Source organism: Homo sapiens, chromosome 12 (assembly GCF_000001405.40).
Source record: "Homo sapiens chromosome 12, GRCh38.p14 Primary Assembly".
Classification (NCBI taxonomy): Eukaryota; Metazoa; Chordata; class Mammalia; order Primates; family Hominidae; genus Homo; species Homo sapiens.
This window is the reverse complement of record NC_000012.12, coordinates 12,070,708-12,088,684: the sequence shown is the minus strand read 5'-3', so window position 1 is coordinate 12,088,684 and position 17,977 is coordinate 12,070,708. Positions and strand designations below refer to the sequence as shown.

The 17,977-nt window shown below is 47.8% G+C and overlaps 1 protein-coding gene across 5 annotated transcripts in view, besides 4 other annotated features; it reads right to left on the bottom strand.

Moving 5' to 3' along the window:
* The window catches only part of BCL2L14 (BCL2 like 14), a 49,835-nt gene that overhangs the window by 11,011 nt on the left and 20,847 nt on the right, over nt 1–17,977 (bottom strand). For 2 of the 5 annotated variants that reach the window (NM_030766.2, NM_138722.2), the window contains exons 1-3: nt 17,030–17,282; nt 8,947–9,386; nt 1,299–1,472 (exon numbers count right to left, since the gene is read on the bottom strand). In NM_030766.2, coding sequence (NP_110393.1) covers nt 1,299–1,472; nt 8,947–9,379 — 607 coding nt within the window. In that variant the 5' untranslated portion in view covers nt 9,380–9,386; nt 17,030–17,282. Of the gene's footprint in view, nt 1–1,298; nt 1,473–8,946; nt 9,387–10,706; nt 10,980–17,029; nt 17,283–17,547; nt 17,747–17,977 lie in introns of those variants that run through there. The other 3 variants (NM_001370269.1, NM_138723.2, NM_001370268.1) reach the window with 3 other exon arrangements.
* Nucleotides 1,056–1,350: a silencer, noted in NCBI's record as "tiled region #8243; HepG2 Repressive non-DNase unmatched - State 7:EnhWF, and K562 Repressive non-DNase unmatched - State 23:Low". NCBI's record gives its function as "represses a minimal TATA promoter and a strong SV40 promoter by Sharpr-MPRA in HepG2 and K562 cells {active_cell/tissue: HepG2 | K562}" and the evidence as "EXISTENCE:reporter gene assay evidence [ECO:0000049][PMID:27701403]".
* Nucleotides 6,556–6,850: a silencer, noted in NCBI's record as "tiled region #14349; K562 Repressive DNase unmatched - State 8:EnhW". NCBI's record gives its function as "represses a minimal TATA promoter and a strong SV40 promoter by Sharpr-MPRA in K562 cells {active_cell/tissue: K562}" and the evidence as "EXISTENCE:reporter gene assay evidence [ECO:0000049][PMID:27701403]".
* Nucleotides 15,015–15,702: an enhancer, noted in NCBI's record as "H3K27ac-H3K4me1 hESC enhancer chr12:12225917-12226604 (GRCh37/hg19 assembly coordinates)". NCBI's record gives its function as "activates a minimal SCP1, AML or CMV promoter by ChIP-STARR-seq in naive H9 embryonic stem cells {active_cell/tissue: H9 hESC(naive)}" and the evidence as "EXISTENCE:reporter gene assay evidence [ECO:0000049][PMID:30033119]".
* Nucleotides 17,450–17,539: an enhancer, noted in NCBI's record as "active region_6009". NCBI's record gives its function as "activates an Ori minimal core promoter by ATAC-STARR-seq in GM12878 lymphoblastoid cells {active_cell/tissue: GM12878}" and the evidence as "EXISTENCE:reporter gene assay evidence [ECO:0000049][PMID:35858748]".

Genomic DNA, 17,977 nt, shown 5'->3' with positions numbered 1-17,977 from the left:
TTAAAAAGAAATGATTTAGGCAGATAGTGAGGGTAAGGAAGTTCTCGGGAAGGTTTTCCTTTTAATGAAAAGCAGCCCCAAATCATTTTCTTTTCTAACAAAGAGTAGCCTGTAAAATTGAGCTGCAGACATAGACAAGCAAGCTAAAAGCTTGCACAGTGAATGTTGGCAGCTGTGCCAATAGGAAAAGGCCACCTGGGACTAGGCATGTCCAACATGGCGGCCGCATTTTCCCTTTTCCTTTCCAACCACGTGTGCCCTAGGGAGCAGACAACATGGCGCTGGGCAAGTGGAAAGCCCACTTGCGTAATAAGATGAGGGTGGGGTGGCCAGCTTCCCCCATGCTATGTAAACGTCACACCTGGTTCAACTGATCTTTGGATCCTATGTAAATCAGACACCACCTCCTCAAACCTGTCTATAAAATCCGGTGCACTCTGTCGCAGGCCAGAAGTCACATTTGGGTTCCCCTCTCTGTCGCAGGAGAGAGAGCTGTTCTCCTTTCTCTTTGTTTTGCCTATTAAACCTCTGCCGCTAAACTCACTTCTTGTGTGTGTCCATGTCCTCGATTCCCTTGGCATGAGACAACGAACCTCACGTATTTATCCCAGACAATGAGGCTGCGTCATCACAACCTCCACTGTAGTTTGTGGAGGGAGCCAGGAGCAAGAACTGTGGTGGGGGAATGCCGGGCAGAGCTTCTCTTCCAGTGGCACTTGGCTTTGCTCCCCTTGACTCTCCCCTCAGTGCCTTGAGTTACCACCAGCCTGATGGGATCTACAGTCTCAGCTATTGCTATGGTTTGGGTGACAACTGACCCAGCCTTGTCACTACTTCTCAGTTCTGCTCCATGTCTTGCACCATAGCTGGTGCCTGACAACCCCTGCTTTTTCACAAAGCCCTAAAGCAATGTTATAATATAAATCCCTGGCTTGACGCTCCAACTGTACCTGATGCAAATTGGCCCAGGGTCACTGGTAACATGATCAGATCTAACATTGCATTTTCCGCCACAGACAAGGCTGAATGCGGGCTTTGTGTTTCCTCCTCTCCCTCTGTAGGAGACTTTCCTTTCTTACTTAGCAGAGAGCTGGGAATGTTTTTTCAACCTGCTGGGGCAGCCCCCTTGCCTTGGGCTGGTGTCTCAAGCTGGAGCTCATTGCCCACAGCCTGTGGCTGTCAAGCCCTCAGTCCAGGCAGCGGAGACTGTCAAGTTGCCGAGCCCTGGGATGGATAAATACACAAATGCTCCTGCGCCCCTGCCTGGCAAACACTCCACCCAGGGAAGGAAAGCTTACCTTTCTTAGAACTTGAAGCTACAGGCACGTGGCCTTGGAGCTGGAAGGAGAGACCCTCAGTTACAAAAATCTCTTTGGACTTGAAGCCTCCTGCCTGGGTCGCTTGTGGTGGTGGCCAGGAGTAAACAATTTCAGCTACTCGGTTGGCAATGGAAATGACTTTGGGGTCCACAGCTGAAACAAGACAAAATGGTGCTGAGAGGCCCTTCCCAGAACTTCATCTGGCTCATTGGTATGCAAAGTTGCCTGGAATGAAAAGACCAGGCCAGAATAGAAGGAAACTGCCTGGGAGTATGTGTGCTGGGGGAGGGTCATTCTTCAGAAAGGACTGAAAGTTGCCTGGCAGAGGCCGGGATGTGGGAGGGGTGCATGCAGGAATGATTGTCACCTTGAAACAATTGGCCTTCTGCACACTCTTTTTGAAGTCTTGCAAAATTAGGGTCTCCTTTCCCCTTTGCAAGGGAAGAGACACAAAAAGGAGTGCTTAGCTCTTTACTTGAAGGAATGCTCATTATGCTTTTATTTTTATTCTTTTTTCTCGACATGCTTTATACCTCTAAGAGCCAGCCCCTACATGCATAGGAGGACATTCGATAATTTGACAAGCATTTCGGGGTTGGTCACTGAAGAAAGAAATATCCCTGCTCTCAGGGCAATGAGATTCATCATCCAAGTCCATTATCAAGTGAACACCTAACTCCCGTTGCTGGTACAGTTCTGCCTCTTCTCTCCTCTCCATGTCTACTGGAAAACATTCAATGAATGCTTATAGGTAAACAAGGATGCAGTCAGCACAACTTACGGCCTTCAAGAATTTACAAGCTGAGAAAAGAGTTACGTCATGTATTTGCATACAGAATTGTAGAATAAAGCACTTTGAGATAGGACGGTGAAATGGCATTGGCCCAGTGAGTGTTGTAGCCTATAAGAGACCAGTCGCCTTTGCCCCTGAGTGGGGAAGAGGGGAGGTGGGGTGGGCAGATGGCATGGCTGAGTTGCTGGGTGGTAAAATTTTCACTGTTGATTTGTCACTAAGTTCTAACCTTTTATTTGTTTATTTACTTTTTTCCAGACAGAGTCTCACTCTGTCACCCAGGCTGGAGTGCAGTGGTGTGATCACAGCTCACTGCAGCTTGGATCTCTCAGGCTCAAGCGATTGTCCCACCTCAGCCTCCTGAGTAGCTGGGATGACAGGTGTGCATCACCACGCCTGGCTAATTTATTAAAATTCTTTTTCTAGAGATAAGGTCTCCCTATGTTGCCCAGGTTGTTCTTGAACTCCTAAGCGCAAGCAATCCTCCCACATCAGCCTCCCAAAGTGCTAGGATTACAAGGATGAGCCACCACCACACCCAACCTAAATCCTAAACTTTTAAAAGCTTGTACAAGCTGTCTTGGATGCCGTGTGGAGCAGCTGGGTTTTACCATGTAACATTTGAAGACTAACATTAGGTAATTCACAGGACTTGAAGACAGTAATGGAGTGGCGTTTTGGACAGAAGGTTGGTGTGCTCAAACTCCTAGGGCACTTCTGGGCTTTGTACAGCACTGGAGGTAAGAGAGGCAAGTAGGGGGCCTGGGAGGGACTGAGCCACAAGAGAAACAGGTTTTGACATCATATGCAGCTGCCAAGGTGGCTCCTGATCCCTCTCCCTGGATTCCTCCAAGCTGAAGGCTTCAGTGTCCTCCCTTCAGCCCTCCAGCCATTCACGGAAAGGCCACAGAAGATACTGCTCTGTCCATGATGCCATCCTCTGGTGGACATCTGACTCATAAAGCCATCTTTTCCATGGTTAGTCCACAGGGTTCAAAAACCAATAAGAAGCGAATGACGGAGAGAAGAAAGATCAAGAAGAAAAGGATCAATGTCTTTCCTCCTCGTTTTTTAAGAACCAAGCGAAACAGACTTTCCACTTTGTAATCCCCTTATTGCAGCCCAGCCGGCCTCCGCTGGAACTCTGGCCACCCATGGCCCCTGGCAAAGAAAGAAATGGCAAGAGGCTATCTTCCAAAGCCAAGGGAAACTTCCCTGGCCATGTCCTCAGGAGATGAGAAAGGAAAGCAGGCCTCTGCTGCCTTTTCAACCTTGTGCAGCTCATCTAGGGTAATCAGCATGCGGTTCTACCACCAGAAAGCACCCTGTGCCCATCTTGCACATTAAGAAGCTCCATGAAGGGTCCCAAAGGCTCTGTCCCCTCCTCCTCTCATAAGGCAGGGTGGCCACAAGATCACCAACAGGTACAAAATTACTCAATCTGGCTAACTGTGTACAGGGTATTGACTTTTTTTTTTTTTTTTTTTTTGAGACGGAGTCTCGCTCTGTTGCCCAGGCTGGAGTGCAATGGCACGATCTCGGCTCGCTGCAACCTCCACCTTCTGGGTTCAAGCCATTCTCTCTGCCTCAGCCTCCTGTGTAGCTGGGATTACAGGACGTAGTGGCTCCCGCCACTACGTCCAGCTAATTTTTGTATATTTTCAGTAGAGACAGGGTTTTGCCATGTTGGCCAGGCTGGTCTTGAACTCTTGACCTCAGGTGATCCTCCTGCCTCAGCCTCCCAAAGTGCTGGGGTTACAGCAGGGTATTGATTTCTGTGGGTTTGTGGACATGGAGTGAGACATGTCCAGGAGAAACTATAAGCAAACATGTTCCCACAGATGCACTAGCTCTAGTTAAAATTCCCATCTTGGATATTTTAATTTTAAAACATGAAAAAGAAAAGATTATATCCTTGTCAGACTTGGTCCTGTCTGATAGGCGAGGGAACACTGGATGGGGTGGGGAGAAGACAGAAAGGCTGTCTGTTCCTTGGAGTCTGTTTTGGGGGTCATCGTGGCGCCAGGAAGAGCAGGCCAACAGGGTCGGAAGGTCCCATTTCGCCTGTGGTCTGAGGCATTTGTTTTAAAGAGAAAGGGCAGGGGGTTGGGGTGTGACTTCCTTATGGACTGCTCTTTCCCACTCAGTATCCACTTTCTTCTTCTTCCTTAGTAACAGACCTCTAAAATGTGAGGGGCAGCAATGAACCCAGCTGAACAAACTATATTCCCTGGGCTCCCTTGCAGTAGGGAAGGGCCAATGAGATGTCAGAAGCTGGGGGCAGTTTCAAGAAAGCTCTCGAAAAGGGAGCTAAGGCTGGGTGCGGTGGCTCACGCCCGTAATCCCAGCATTTTGGGAGGCCAAGGCGAGGCCATCATTTTAGGCCAGGAGTTCGAGACCAGCCTGGGTAACACAGACCCCATCTTTACAAAAGATTAAAAAATAATAATAAAATAAAAGGGAGCTGAATTACCTAGAAAGAAGGCACCCTTTGCCCTTCCTTTGCTTCCTTTTTATTCTTGCCTGAGATGTAGACATGATGGGTGAAGCCCCAACAGCCACCTTTAGAATATAAGGTGACTTTGAGGTGGAAGCCACGAGCTGAGGGATGGCAGAATTCCCAGGAATTCTTTTTTTCACCCCGTCATCCAAGCTGGAGTGCAATGGTGTGATCTCAGCTCAGTGCAACCTGCGCCTCCCAGGCTCAAGTGATTCTCCTCCTTCAGCCTCTCGAGTAGCTGAGACTGCAGGCGCGCACCATGGCGCCTGGCTAATTTTTGTATTTTTTTTAATAGAGACGGGGTTTTGTCATGTTGCTCAGGCTGGTCTCAAACTCTTTGGCTCAAGTGATCTGCCCACCTCAGACTCCCAAAGGGCTGGGATTATAGGCATGAGCCACCCTGCCTGGCCATTCCCAGAAATTCTTAATAACTTTGTGGAGCTGTCATATCATGCCTGAGCTGCCAAACTTTTGTCCTCTTTTAAAGGAGAGAAAAGCAAACCTGTATATTATTTAAGCCATGGGTATTTGAGTGTTCCACTGTATATCGCTGAACCTCACCTTAACTATAACATTCCACGTGAGCAAATCGTAGCTATGGAGAAACAAAAGATTCACAAGTGAAAGAGCCTGGGTTGGTAGTCTTTAAAACTGGTGTTATTGTCCATTTCTCTGCATCCTGAGGCCTCTTCCTAACAGAGTTTGGTCTTGGGACATAATCTCACAGTTCCCATGTAAGCCCGGTACTGAGGCCTGGCAGTGGCTGTACAAGGCTACATAGTGACTTACAGTTAAAATAACCCAGGTGAGGCCAGGCACGGTGGCTCACGCCTGTAATCCCAGCACTTTGGGAGGCTGAGGCGGACAGATCACGAGGCCAGGAGATCGAGACCATCCTGGCTAACACGATGAAACCCTGTCTCTACTAAAAATACAAAAAATTAGCCGGGCGTGGTGGTGGGCGCCCGTAGTCCCAGCTACTCGGGAGGCTGAGGCAGGAGAATGGTGTGAACCCAGGAGGCAGAGGTTGCAGTGAGCCGAGATCAGGCCACTGCACTCCAGCCTGGGTGACAGAGCAAGACTCTGTCTCAAAAACAACAAACAAACAAACAAAAAAGAACCCAGGAGAAACCAAATTTGCAAGGCCTGATTTGTATGTGGCAAAATAGAAATAGAATGTGAGGCTCTCTTGGATCACGCTCAATGTAAAACCGACACAAGTAACACAAGTAAAAAACACACAATTAACTGACTAAATGCAAGCGTGAGGAGAAAGGTGATAAGGGAAGATAAGCTGTAAATATGTGTTTAAAGCCTTCTTAGGAGGTAATCATTTTTCATTTTTTATGGAGAATATTATTCAGCCATAGGTACTATTCAGCTATTCAGCACATTAACACATCACCTAAGTGTTTTTGAATGTAATCTTTAATTCTCAATCTCACATAAAAGTTTTCTTTCCCTACTGAAAAAAGAAATAAAAGCTTCTCTTGAAATTTTAGAAAATAAAAAAAATGTCAAATGACACTCCAGTAAATACTGAAATACAGAATGCAATTTATCTCAGGAAAAACCAGAAGACTAAGGTCTGTAAAAGCTTTCTCTGTCTGCTGGCAAAGTCCACAGTACAGGCCAAGTAGAAAAGCCTATTTAGGTGCCTCCAAACTGTTCTTTGCCCCAGAGCCCAGATGCCACCCCCGGCAGAAGAAGCCATGGCTGGGTGAGGGCAGCTGAGGGGTGGGGAGGCAGATGTGGAGGGAAGGACCACAGGGGGCCGCTCCCTCTTGCCCTAGACCTGCCCTAGCTGGGCAGAGTTCAGAGAGCAGATGCCTTGCTGTAAAAATGAAACAAGTCTAGGGAGAGGCCTGGACTTCTGGTGAGTCCAGGCTCTGCTACTTCCTGGATGTTTCCTTGGTAAGCCCTTTTTGTGGGACTCCCATTTCCTCATCCTGTCTGTGCCATGAGGTTCCCTCAGATGATCCTGACCATAACTCCCACTGTTCTAAACATCTGAAACTCTAATGGGAAAAGGGAGTTTCCTTGATCATAGTGAGTGATCTAAAGCTGTCTATGAGTGGGCTGATTCTCCAAGCAAGCCAGGACTGTCACATTTAAAAACTGAGACATTACTGCCACCTCTTGACTAATTATTGACAAGTTACCCAGGCCAATGAAACTCAGCAGGAGGGGGCCTTTCTTTTAAAATCTGGCTTTGCGGCTGGGTGCAGTGGCTCACACTTGTAATCCCAGCACTTCGGGAGCCCAAGGTGGGCAGATCACGAGGTCAGGAGTTCGAGGCCAGCCTGACCAACATGGTGAAACGCTGTCTCTACTAAAAATACAAAAATTAGCCAGGCCTGGTGGTGCGCGCCTGTGATCCCAGCTACTCAGGAGGCTGAGGCAGGAGAATTGCTTGAACCTGGGAGGCGGAGCTTGCAGTGAGCCGAGATTACACCACAGCACTCCAGCCTGGGCGACAGAGCAAGACTCCATCTAAAACACCTTAAAAAAAAAAAAAAAATCTGGGCTTTGGGCACTGGGCTTTGTTGAAGGGGAAGAAGATGCTTATGCCAAGGTGTGCGCATGAAGGGCAACTGTCTTTTTTTTTTTTTTTTTGGAGACAGAGTCTCATTATGTCACCCAGAGCTGGGGTGCAGTGATGTGATCTTCGCTCACTGCAGCCTTGACCTCCTGAGCTCAAGTGATCCTTCCACCTCAGCCTCCATAGTAGCTGGGACAACAGGCATGTGCCACCATGCCTCGCTAATTTTTTTATTTTAATTTTTTAATGGAGACAGGGTCTTGCTATGATGCCAGGCTGATCTCAAACTCTTGGTGTCAAGTGATCCTCCTGCCTTGGTTTCCCACAGTGCTGAGAGTATCGACGTGATGGGCTCTCACTCTGTCACCCAGGCTGGAGTGCAGTGGCATCATCTTGGCTCACTGCAACCTCTACTTCCCAGGCTCAAGCCATCCTCCCACCTCAGCCTCCCGAGTAGCCAGGACCACAGGCGTGCACCACCATGTCTGACTAATTTTTTTGTATTTTTTGGTAGAGACAGGGTTTTGCCATGTTGCTAAGGCTGGTCTTGAACTCCTGAGCTCAACCGATCCACCCACCTTGGCCTCCCAAAGTGCTGGGATTACAGGTATGAGCCTCAGTGCCTGGTGAAAATGTTTCATTAAGTACAATTAATTTTGTCCAACTGAGGGAAGATTTTGTCTAAATGCTTCTCAGTTGTTTTTGTAGGATGGTTTGTACTTTGTCAAGAGTCCTTTTACTCTTGCTCTCTGATCTTCCCATCAACCATACGAGGTGGAGAGAGTGGGGTACCCAATGTACAGATGGAAACACAGAGGCCCTGAGCGAATGAGTTGACTTAGGAAGAGCAGCGGCCCAGGCAGCCCAAGCAAGCCCCTGGTTAGGGCTCGTTCTTTTTTTTTTTTTTTTTTGAGACAAAGTCTTACCCTGTAGCTCAGGCTGGAGTGCAGTGATGCAATCTCGGCTCACTGCAACCTCCGCCTCCCAGGTTCAAGCGATTCTCTTGCCCCAGCCTCCCGAGTAGCTGGGAATACAAGCATGCGCCACCATGCCCGGCTAATTTTTTGTATCTTTAGTAGAGACGGGTTTTCACTATGTTGGCCAGGCTAGTCTTGAACTCCTGACCTTATGATCTGCCCACCTCAACCTTCCAAAGTGCTGGAATTACAGGCATGAGCCACTGCGCCTAGCCTCCTTCTTTTATATTGGTGTCTGGTACAGAGGACTAGGAATTTGGGAAACAAGCTTATTTATAGACAGTGGAGAAAGAAAACCAGTCCCAGCACCCTTAACTTCCATCATTTCCTTTTAGTCATTTTTTTTTTTTTGACGGAGTCTCACTCTGTCACCCAAGCTGGAGTGCAGTGATGCCATCTTGGCTCACTGCAAGCTCCGCCTGCTGGGTTCACGCCATTCTCCTGCCTCAGCCTCCCGAGTAGCTGGGACTACAGGCACCCGCCAACACGCCCGGCTAATTTTTTGTATTTTTTAGTGGAGACGGGGTTTTACCGTGTTAGCCAGGATGGTCTCAATCTCCTGACCTCATGATCCACCCGCCTTGGCCTCCCAGAGTGCTGGGATTACAGGCGTGAGCCACCGCGCCCAGGCAGCAACTCCTTTTAGTCTTGAGAAAAGCAGGGCAATTATGATTGAACACTAATAAGTTGGAAAGCTGAGGCACAACGCATGCCTTCTCTAAAGCCACTTTACAACATGAGAAGAGATGTACCACTCTGGACACAAAGAAGGGAAAAACCAGGAAGCGGGAGAGAAAGAAATCCCAGATGCCTACCTTCATGCTCCAAGCACTGCTCCACGTTAGAAAGACACCTGGACCACTGCTGGCTGTGCGAATCTTGGTATTCCAACGTCCTTTGACCCTGAGCAGAGACCTTGGCAGGCGTGCTCTGCGAATCTTCCTTCTCCACTACTCCAAAGAATGCTTTCCAAGAAGACTTTTTCTTGCCAAGGTTTATGGCCTTCTCACTGGATTGGGAATTTCTGCAAGGCCATGACACCTCTGTCCATGACTCATTTGCTGAACAATTCCCCAGGCCCCTCTGGGACAAACTTCTTGTTCTCAGCAGCTTTGGTGAGAAGAGAGCAGGGGTGCTCTTGAAGACATGATGTCTGGTGTAGTAGGCGAGGATTTTGAATTCTATGGTGTTTAGGTCATCATCATCTAGGGGGATTTCTTCCAGGTCACACCCACTGGTGCTACACATGTTGGGCCTGTAACAACAAAGTCCACACTGTGCCCTTCTATGCAGGGCCACTTACCCTTTGCAGGTTAGGAGAGACAGGGGTGAAAACTCAGGAAACATTTATTGAACATCTATTGTGTTTGTGCTGGAGGGTAGAGAGGGAAAAGCCACAGTCTTACTAGGGTGGGAAGAGAGACATGGCCATAGATAACTCCACATAAAGAAAATGAACTGCCGGGTGCGGTGGCTCACGCCTGTAATCCCAAAACTTTGGGAGGCCAAGGCGGGCAGATCATGAGGTCAGGAGTTCAAGACCAGCCTGGCCTATACAGTGAAAGCCCGTCTCTACTAAAGATACAAAAATTAGCCAGGCATGGTGGCGCACGCCTGTAGACCCGGCTACTTGGGAGGCTGCGGCAGAAGAATCGCTTGAACCCAGGAGTCGGGGGTTGTAGTGAGCTGAGATTGCGCCACTGCACTCCAGCCTGGCGACAGAGTGAGACTCCGTCTCAAAAAACAAAAAACAACAGAGAGAGAATGAACTAATGAACTAAGTAAGAGGTCTAACAGAGATGCAGATAGCCAGGTTAGAAGGCAGGGATAGGTGAGCTTCAAAGAAAGAGGCAAGTGAAAGCTTTTGGAAAGCTAGAAGGAGTTAGACAGGTGGGTGGATATTGGGGCTACAACAGGGCGGGCAGAGGGGAGATTATAGGTGAATTCAGAATGTGTTTGAAGAGTGGTGAGAGAACTGGGACAGCATACGTATGCAGTTTGCAAATAGCCAGGGCTTGAAAATAGTGGAGGGAAAATAAGTGAACTAGCACTTGGGTCCAGATTATGGTGGTCTTTGACTATCAGGCTGAAGCTTCGCATTTTCTCACGTTGATCAGTACATTTCAAAATGAGCTGTGGACTGTGGAGTTAAAGGTCTTGCTGGGGAGGTGGCAAAAGAGGGAGGCCAATTCAGGGAAGAGAAATGCCTGGGACCTGACCCTTCCCTTCCTCGGTTCCTTCTCCCTCTACCCTCTGCTTTAGCTTGTCCCGGCTTCTCTCTCCTCTCTCTCTCTCTTTCTTTTTTCTTGCTATATTTGGTATGCCATGTAAGATTTCATCTGAAAAAAGCATCCTGTTATTTTATTTTACTTTTTACGAATTTGAAACACACTGATGGAGGCAATGGAGAGCTGTTCAAAGTTTTGAGTAGAGAGTGATGTGATCACAGGCATGTTTGAAAAAGATCAGTACAAGCACTAAAACAACAGGATGCAAGCATTTCTTCTTTATTTCCATACGAATAACAGGATAGATAAAGAACTGATTTTGTTCAATTTCCTTTGCTTGAGCTTACATGAAATAACTCCTTCTCTGGTTTCCTGCTAGGAAAGCAGTTCTTTTTGCTAATAATCTGTTTCCTTCTGCTGTCTGTTAAGGACTACATTTTCCTTTTAGTCTCAGATGCGAGAAAGCTCAGATCTACCGTGTGAAATGTCCCAGGCAGTGAGCGTATCAAGAATTAGCTTGGGCTTCTCAGTCTAACAGTCCCAAATTCAGATTGTGGCCATGCCAGTGACTAGTTTTGTGACCTGTGGCAGGTTACTCCATCTCTCCAAACATGAACTTCCTGCAGGCAAATTGTAAATAATAATAGTCATCTTGCAGGGATATTGTAAGGGTGTAAGATACACAAGAGAAGTTCCTGCACAGAACCTGGTTCAAAAGTGGTAGCTATGTTTTTTTTCTAGTTCAGCTGTTGTCCTAGGCCCCAGGCTCTCTTTTTTTTTTTTTTTTTGAGACTCAGTTTTGCTCTGTTGCCCAGGCTGGAGTGCAGATCATAGCTCACCACAGCCTCAACCTCCCCGGCTCAAGGGATTCTCTCACCTCAGCCCCTCAAGTAGCTGGGAACACAGGCACATGCCACCACACCTGGCTAATTTTTTTGTTTTGTCTTTTAGAGACAAGGTCTCGCTATGTTGCCCAGTCTGGTGCGAAACTCCTGGGCTCAAGTGATCCACCTGCCTCAGCCTCCCAAAGTGCTGAGATTACAGCCATGAGCTACCATGCCCGGCCTCAGGCTCTGTCTTAATATGGCTCTTAATAATGTTCCCTTCCCTTTCTGGTCCTAATTTAAGACGGTCTTTCGGCATGTAAGCTGCTGTGATGATAAAGAAGCTGCAGTAATATTAAGGGGACTGGCTGGCATGTTCCTCTTTTTCTTTCCACTGTACCTTGTCATACCAGGACCAAATGATAAAGAAATGGGACAGTAACTGCAGACAGGGTTTGAGGCAATGTGAGGTGGTACAGACAAGTTGGCCTGGGTGTCTGAAGGATGGATAGCCACGGCTGGCTCAGCTTCTAACCTGCAACATCCTTGGGCAAGTCACGCCACCTTTTTGTTCCTCGGTGTCCAAGTTGTTAGATAGAATAAGGATATTCTCTAACTTTTCCCCCTGGTTCTGCTATTGGAAGGAGGTGTAGGAGCTGAAATATCTCCCCTGAGGGCCTGCTGGATGCTGCCTTTTTCCATCACTGTCTCCTCTCCTTTACTTAGAAGAGGCTCACATTGGCTGATAGCGAAGCTGTTGATCTGAGGAACTGCTCCTTGGCCAGGCCCCAGGAAAGCAAGGGTCCCTGGCTAGGTGCGTTCTGATGGAAGTGAGCCTGGGAGGGATGCAGCGGGCTATGCTGCAACATCAGGTGATGCTGGAGGGGACAAAAATGGCCCTCCCAGTGCAGCAAAGGGCAAGTTGCAAAACCCACCAGACCAACTACACAGATACAATTATACAACTTCCAAGCCCCGCAAACCTCCCTCACATAACTGGATGTAAGCAAATGCTTGAGGAGTATGGCATGAAGTGGGGGTCATGACTGCAATCCTTCCTCCTCCTCTGCTGTTTCTTCACATTCCTGTCTTATTCCAGGGCTTGGACAATCTTTCTTCCCGCCACTGCTCCAATTTCACATTCACTTACATGCATTTCACTTACATGCAAATCGTTTGCTCTGTAAGGAGTCACGTCAGTGTCTCCTCGAAGGTCATGTTCCTTACTGCTTTTCCACTTACCCCTTCCCGCTCCCCAATTCCATCCAATCCCACCCTCCCCCATGCATTTTCCGGGCATCCCACCCTCCCCCATGCATTTTCCGGGCATCCCACCCTCCCCCATGCATTTTCCGGGCATCCCACCCTCCCCCATGCATTTTCCGGGCATCCCACCCTCCCCTCATCCATCCTGCAGCACAGCCCTGTCCATTCTGCTTGTACTGGACATCTGGTGACCCTATACTCACCCCAGCTCCACTTCCCTGTTCCCAATGACCAATCTTGGTCTCACTAAAGGTGAGACAACCATTATGTGTCTCCTGATCCAAAAACATTGGATCCGAATCTGATCAAGCCTCTGGATCTAATGATCAGTTTACAGGAAATACAGGGGACAGAGAAATAAACTAATGACCACAAGAAGGCAGCTATCCAAATTCAGTATCTGGTAAGTTCTGCAAGACAAATGGCCGGTTTCTTCAACAAATAAATGGCGCCAAAAAAAGGTGAAGACAGAGAACTGCTACAGCTTAAAAGAGACATAAGAAACATATCCGGCAGGGGACGATGGCTCACGCCTGTAATCCTAGCACTTTGGGAGGCCAAGGCGGGTAGTTCACCAGAGGTCGGGAGTTTGAGACCAGCCTGACCAACATGGAGAAACCCCGTCTCTACTAAAAATACAAAATTAGCCAGGCATGGTGGCACATGCCTGCAATCCCAGCTACTCGGGAGGCTGAGGCAGGAGAATCACTTGAACCCAGGAGGCGGAGGTTGCAGTGAGCCGAGATCACGCCATTGCATCCAGCCTGGGCAACAACAGCGAAACTCCGTCTCAAAAAAAAAAGAAAGAAAGAAAGAAAGAAAGAATAGAAACATATCAGGCAGGGCACAATCGTTCACGCCTGTAATCCCAGCACTTTGGGAGGCAGGAGTTCAAGAGCAGCCTGGCCAACGTGGTGAAACCCTGTCTCTAAAAAAAATACAAAAATTAGCTGGGCATGATGGCAGGTGCCTGTAATTCCAGTGAGTTGGGAGACTGCAACAGGAGAATCACTTGAACCTGGGAGGCAAAGGTTGCAGTGAGCGGGGATCGCGCCATTGCACTCCAGCCTGGGTGACACACGGAGACTCTGTCTCAAAAATAAATAAATAAATAAAAAGAAAAAAAAGAAACATATTAAAAAAAAAGAGACATCAATTAGATGTCATGAGTGGATCTTTATTAAATCGTAATTCAAACATACTGTATAAAGATGTAGATATCTTTGAGATGATAGAGAACTAAACACAGTACAGTGTATGTTTTAGATGATATTAAGGAAGTATTGATCATCTTGGCTGGCACCGTGGCTCACACCTGTAATCCCACCACCTTAGGAGGCCAAGGTGGGAGGATCACTTGAGACCTGGATTTGGAGACCAGTCTAGGCAACAAAGTAAGATCCCATCCCTATTTTTTAAAATTTAAAAATTAAAACATTTTTTAAAAAGATAATCTCATTAAATGTGGTAACATTGCCATTAAAAAGTACATATCTGGGCTGGGCGCGGTGGCTCACGCCTGTAATCCTAGCACTTTGGGAGGCCGAGGTGGGCAGATCACTTGAGGTCAGGAGTTCAAGACAAGCCTGGCCAACATGGTGAAACTTTGTCTCTACTAAAAATACAAAAATTAGCCAGGTATGGTGGCACATGCCTGTAATCCTAGCTACTTGGGAGGCTGAGGCTGGAGAATCACTTGAACCCAGGAGGTAGAAGTTGCAGTGAGCTGAGATGGTGCCACTGCACTGAGTAATAGAGTCAGACTCTGTCTCAAAAAAAAATAATAAAAAGAAAAAAAGAAAAAGGTACATATCTTCAAGTATATATAGTGTACATGTATATAAAAACAAAGTAGACATACTGTAAGATATGAAGGCGGGACTTTGGCTGGCTTCCCCAGCACCTAGAGTAGCGCTTGATGCTCTACTGACTGAGCTATCCGGGCTCTCTAGAATAGTGCTTGATACATGGTAGGTGCTCAAATATCTGATGACTGACTGAATGAATGATTATAGGACTGCCAGACACATTCAGAATACAGGACACATTTGGTCACATTTGAAGTTCAGATAAAGGGCAAATAATTTTTTAGTATATGTCCCAAATATCATGAGACTAATATATAATAAATATTAGTATATGTCCCAAATAAAATATTATATGCTAAAAGACACTTATATTTGTTATTTATCTGAAATTCAAACATAACTGGCTGTCTTGCATTCTTGCTTGCTAACTCTGGCCACCCTAGGAGGGGAAGCTGTTGCTGAGACACACTGAGACCTGAGGTGCGTGCAAGCAGGCAAAGCGGGCCACCAAGCAGGGTGAGGTCAGAATTAGGTGCGGCAGACTTGGTGGGGAAAAGGCTGAGTCTAGCAAGAGACCAGACATGGAATTTCTCAGGAGAGGATTCATGAGGCTTTTGATTCAAGGCTTCCTTTTGGACAGAGTGGCTCAGGGCACTGCAGGCCAGATGTGCACCCTGGTCCTTCAGGAACTGTGTCCTTGGGTAGGAGGCTGTGCGCCCTCGTCAGACCAGTAACACTGTGCTGCTGAAGAAATTTCCATGTATGTTAAAAACATCCAGACCTTTTTAATATAACACGAGGGCTTTAAAATTGTGTGTGTGTGTGCGCGTGCATGCATGTTTGTGTGTGCGTGTGCATGTGTGTGTGTGTGGCGGGGGGAGTATTGTCACTGGAGAGAGGGCTTCTTTAAGAAACAAGCTTGCTAATGCTATTTCAGCAGCAACATCAGAAATCGGGGAAACCACTGAAGTCAAGACAGAGTACTTAGTCCTTCCATTTAGTAAAATGTGAGATTTTTGTTGTCTTACAGGCCAGAAAGGCTGTGACTTGGCCCAGTCGACAGGCAAAGCTAAGAATGAGAGAGGATGAGAGAGAGGAGAAAGAACAGTGCTCAGGAGCCAGCCCCAGAAGGAGGCTACCCTACAGCGGAGGGAGCGGGGGCCTCCGCCACAAGAGCCTGGAGAGCAGGGAGCAAAAGAGAACAAACGGAGACAAAGGATTAAGAGGGTTTTAATGTATTTAACAAATGTAGATGCCGGACCCAGTGGCTCACGCCTGTAATCCCAGCACTTTGGGAGGCCCAGGGAGCAGGATCGCTTAAGCCCAGGAGTTCAAGACCAGCCTTGGCTCCGTCTCTACAAAAAATGAAAAAAATTAGCTGGGCGTGGTGGTGTGCACCTGCAGTCCCAGCCACTTGGGAGGCTGAGGGGGGAGAATCGCTTGAGCCTGGGAGTTGGAGGCTGCAGTGAGCTATGATCGCGCCAGTGCACTCCAGCCTGGGTGGCAGAGGGAGACACTCTCTTAAGAAACAAAAATAAAGAAAAAAAAAAACCCACCCACACAAACACAGAGTTTTTGTTTCCTCTAATCCTTGTTATAAATTACTTGATTGTTCAGTGTATAGCTAAGTCTTACTTTCAAGCAGCAGCGATCGAGTATTATCACAGGTTAGATCCCTTCTGCTTTCAGCTCTTCCTACAGAAATTGTACTCTATACAAGAAGCCCAACTTTGGGGTTTATGGAAAGGTAAACCATAAGTTTTATGCTTATGTTGACAGAAGCCCTGGGTGGGGCCTCTGAATGCTGGTTCAGAACCTGGAGGGGAGATTTCCGTTCCTGGGTGAGACCTGTGAGGCTTATTCTAATTCAGGGCCGCAGAGGACACAACCCTGCTTCACTGCCCTATGTTTACCTTCCTGATCCTTACCTGTAACAAACCTGCACTCTCAGAAGCAAGGCTACAGAGGTTCTTTTCTTGGTCTCTTTCCCTCCCCGAGGTGGCCGGGGTCCTCCACGTCTGGCCCCAGCGTGTCCTCTGGGAACACTGGCTGCCTGGCCGGGTGTGCTGAGAGGCCGGCTGGGAAGGCCACACTGCAACGAACACCTACATTCCAGGTATTGGCAGACGCACTGTCGCACGGTTCTCGCTCTGCGGACTCACTTGTTGAGGTGAGATTTCACTTCCCTCCCGGTGGGTGGCAGCTAACGGATAAGCACACAGAGGAAACTGCAGCAAGCACCTCGTGTTTCCACACACAGAGGCGGCCACCACCCAGTGCCCCAGTTACGCTGGACACCTGGTTCGCTGTGCCTCTGCCTGTCCCAGCGGTGAGGGGTGTGGAGAATCCCTTGGTGGCTGTCCCAGCAGAAGAGCTGACTTCATGTGCTCAGGACACACAGTTGAGGCCTGAGTGGATCTCGTGGGCACTGACACTCATCCCCACGGAGCCTCCCACAGCACATCCTAAGCTCAGCTTGGTTCTGTTGTCCGGAGCCTCCCCTTCTGCCCCTCTCCTCTCCCCCTCACTTCAGACCTCTCAGGCTCTTCGTGCCTTCTGCCTGGACTGTTCTTTAATACTAAAGGTGAAATGAGGAATGAGAGAAAGTGCCTTAACTTCCCACAATAGAAGCTGAATGCTAGACAGAGCCTCAGGTCATATTCACCAAACAGAAGGTCCGAGGCTCTGATTGTGGAAAGAAGGGGACAGGGAGCTCAGGGAGGAGGGAGCTTTCTAGAGGGGAGAGAGGAGAGAGAAGGGTCTTCCATTTACCTGTGCCTTAGACTCAAGGAATTCTCTGGGGGTCTAGACCTCCTGCGGATGAGTGCCCAAGTTCCCACGAGGTACTCAGGACTCTGATCTCAAACCAGGAATTCCCATGCTGGCTTCAGTCCCTGAATCCTCGTGGTCTCCAGCTTGGGCAGTGGTGTCCCTGGCCACGGAATGGCTGTCATGTCATTGCATACCTCCCCAGATACATAAGCAGAGAAGACTGAGTAACGTCACATACCTCAACCAGTAATGTGTTCTTAACTGAATGTCCCAAACCCTTTGTAGCAAAAGAGAAATGAAAGAGAAACCTAAATAACCTTTCTTCGTCTTTCCTGGAAACCCCGCTAAACTAGATTCTCAATGTCATTTTGTGTCCTGAGACTTACATGATAAGAACTTTGTAATAAACCCAGTAAAGAGCTCCCTGAATTAGACTGCCTCATTTGGCAAACAGCTAAAGACCAGGCTGTGTCCTCCTGCAAAGGCTGAGGATGAAGACTGGTGCCTCCTGGTGTTACCTGGTCTGGAAGCTGTCTGTGATTTCTTCTGCTTCAGGTCAGGTGGCAGTAAGGATATTTCTATACCTGAGTCTCTCTCCACGAAACTTAAGAGGAAACTTTCAACAGGTCTTCTTGGCTTGTCGTTTGGAAAGACTCAGGTAGTTTAGAGCCCCAGGCTCTAAACTTTCTTCAGGTTTAGGACTCAGCCTGAAAAGAGGCTTAAAGAAGGAGAACCACTTCCTTATTACGCCCTGCCCCTGGCTTTTTAATTGAAGGAGGGGCTGATCTTTGCCCGTGTAATTTGACTCTAAAAGGAATTCTATATCCATTACCTAGCACTCTTCCTGCCCTTTGGGATAACTAGGTGGGTGTTCTGATACTTCTTTACTATCCTTATCAGTTGTTAGTTAAACAAATGTTTACTGACCGCCTAACATGGTACAGGTAC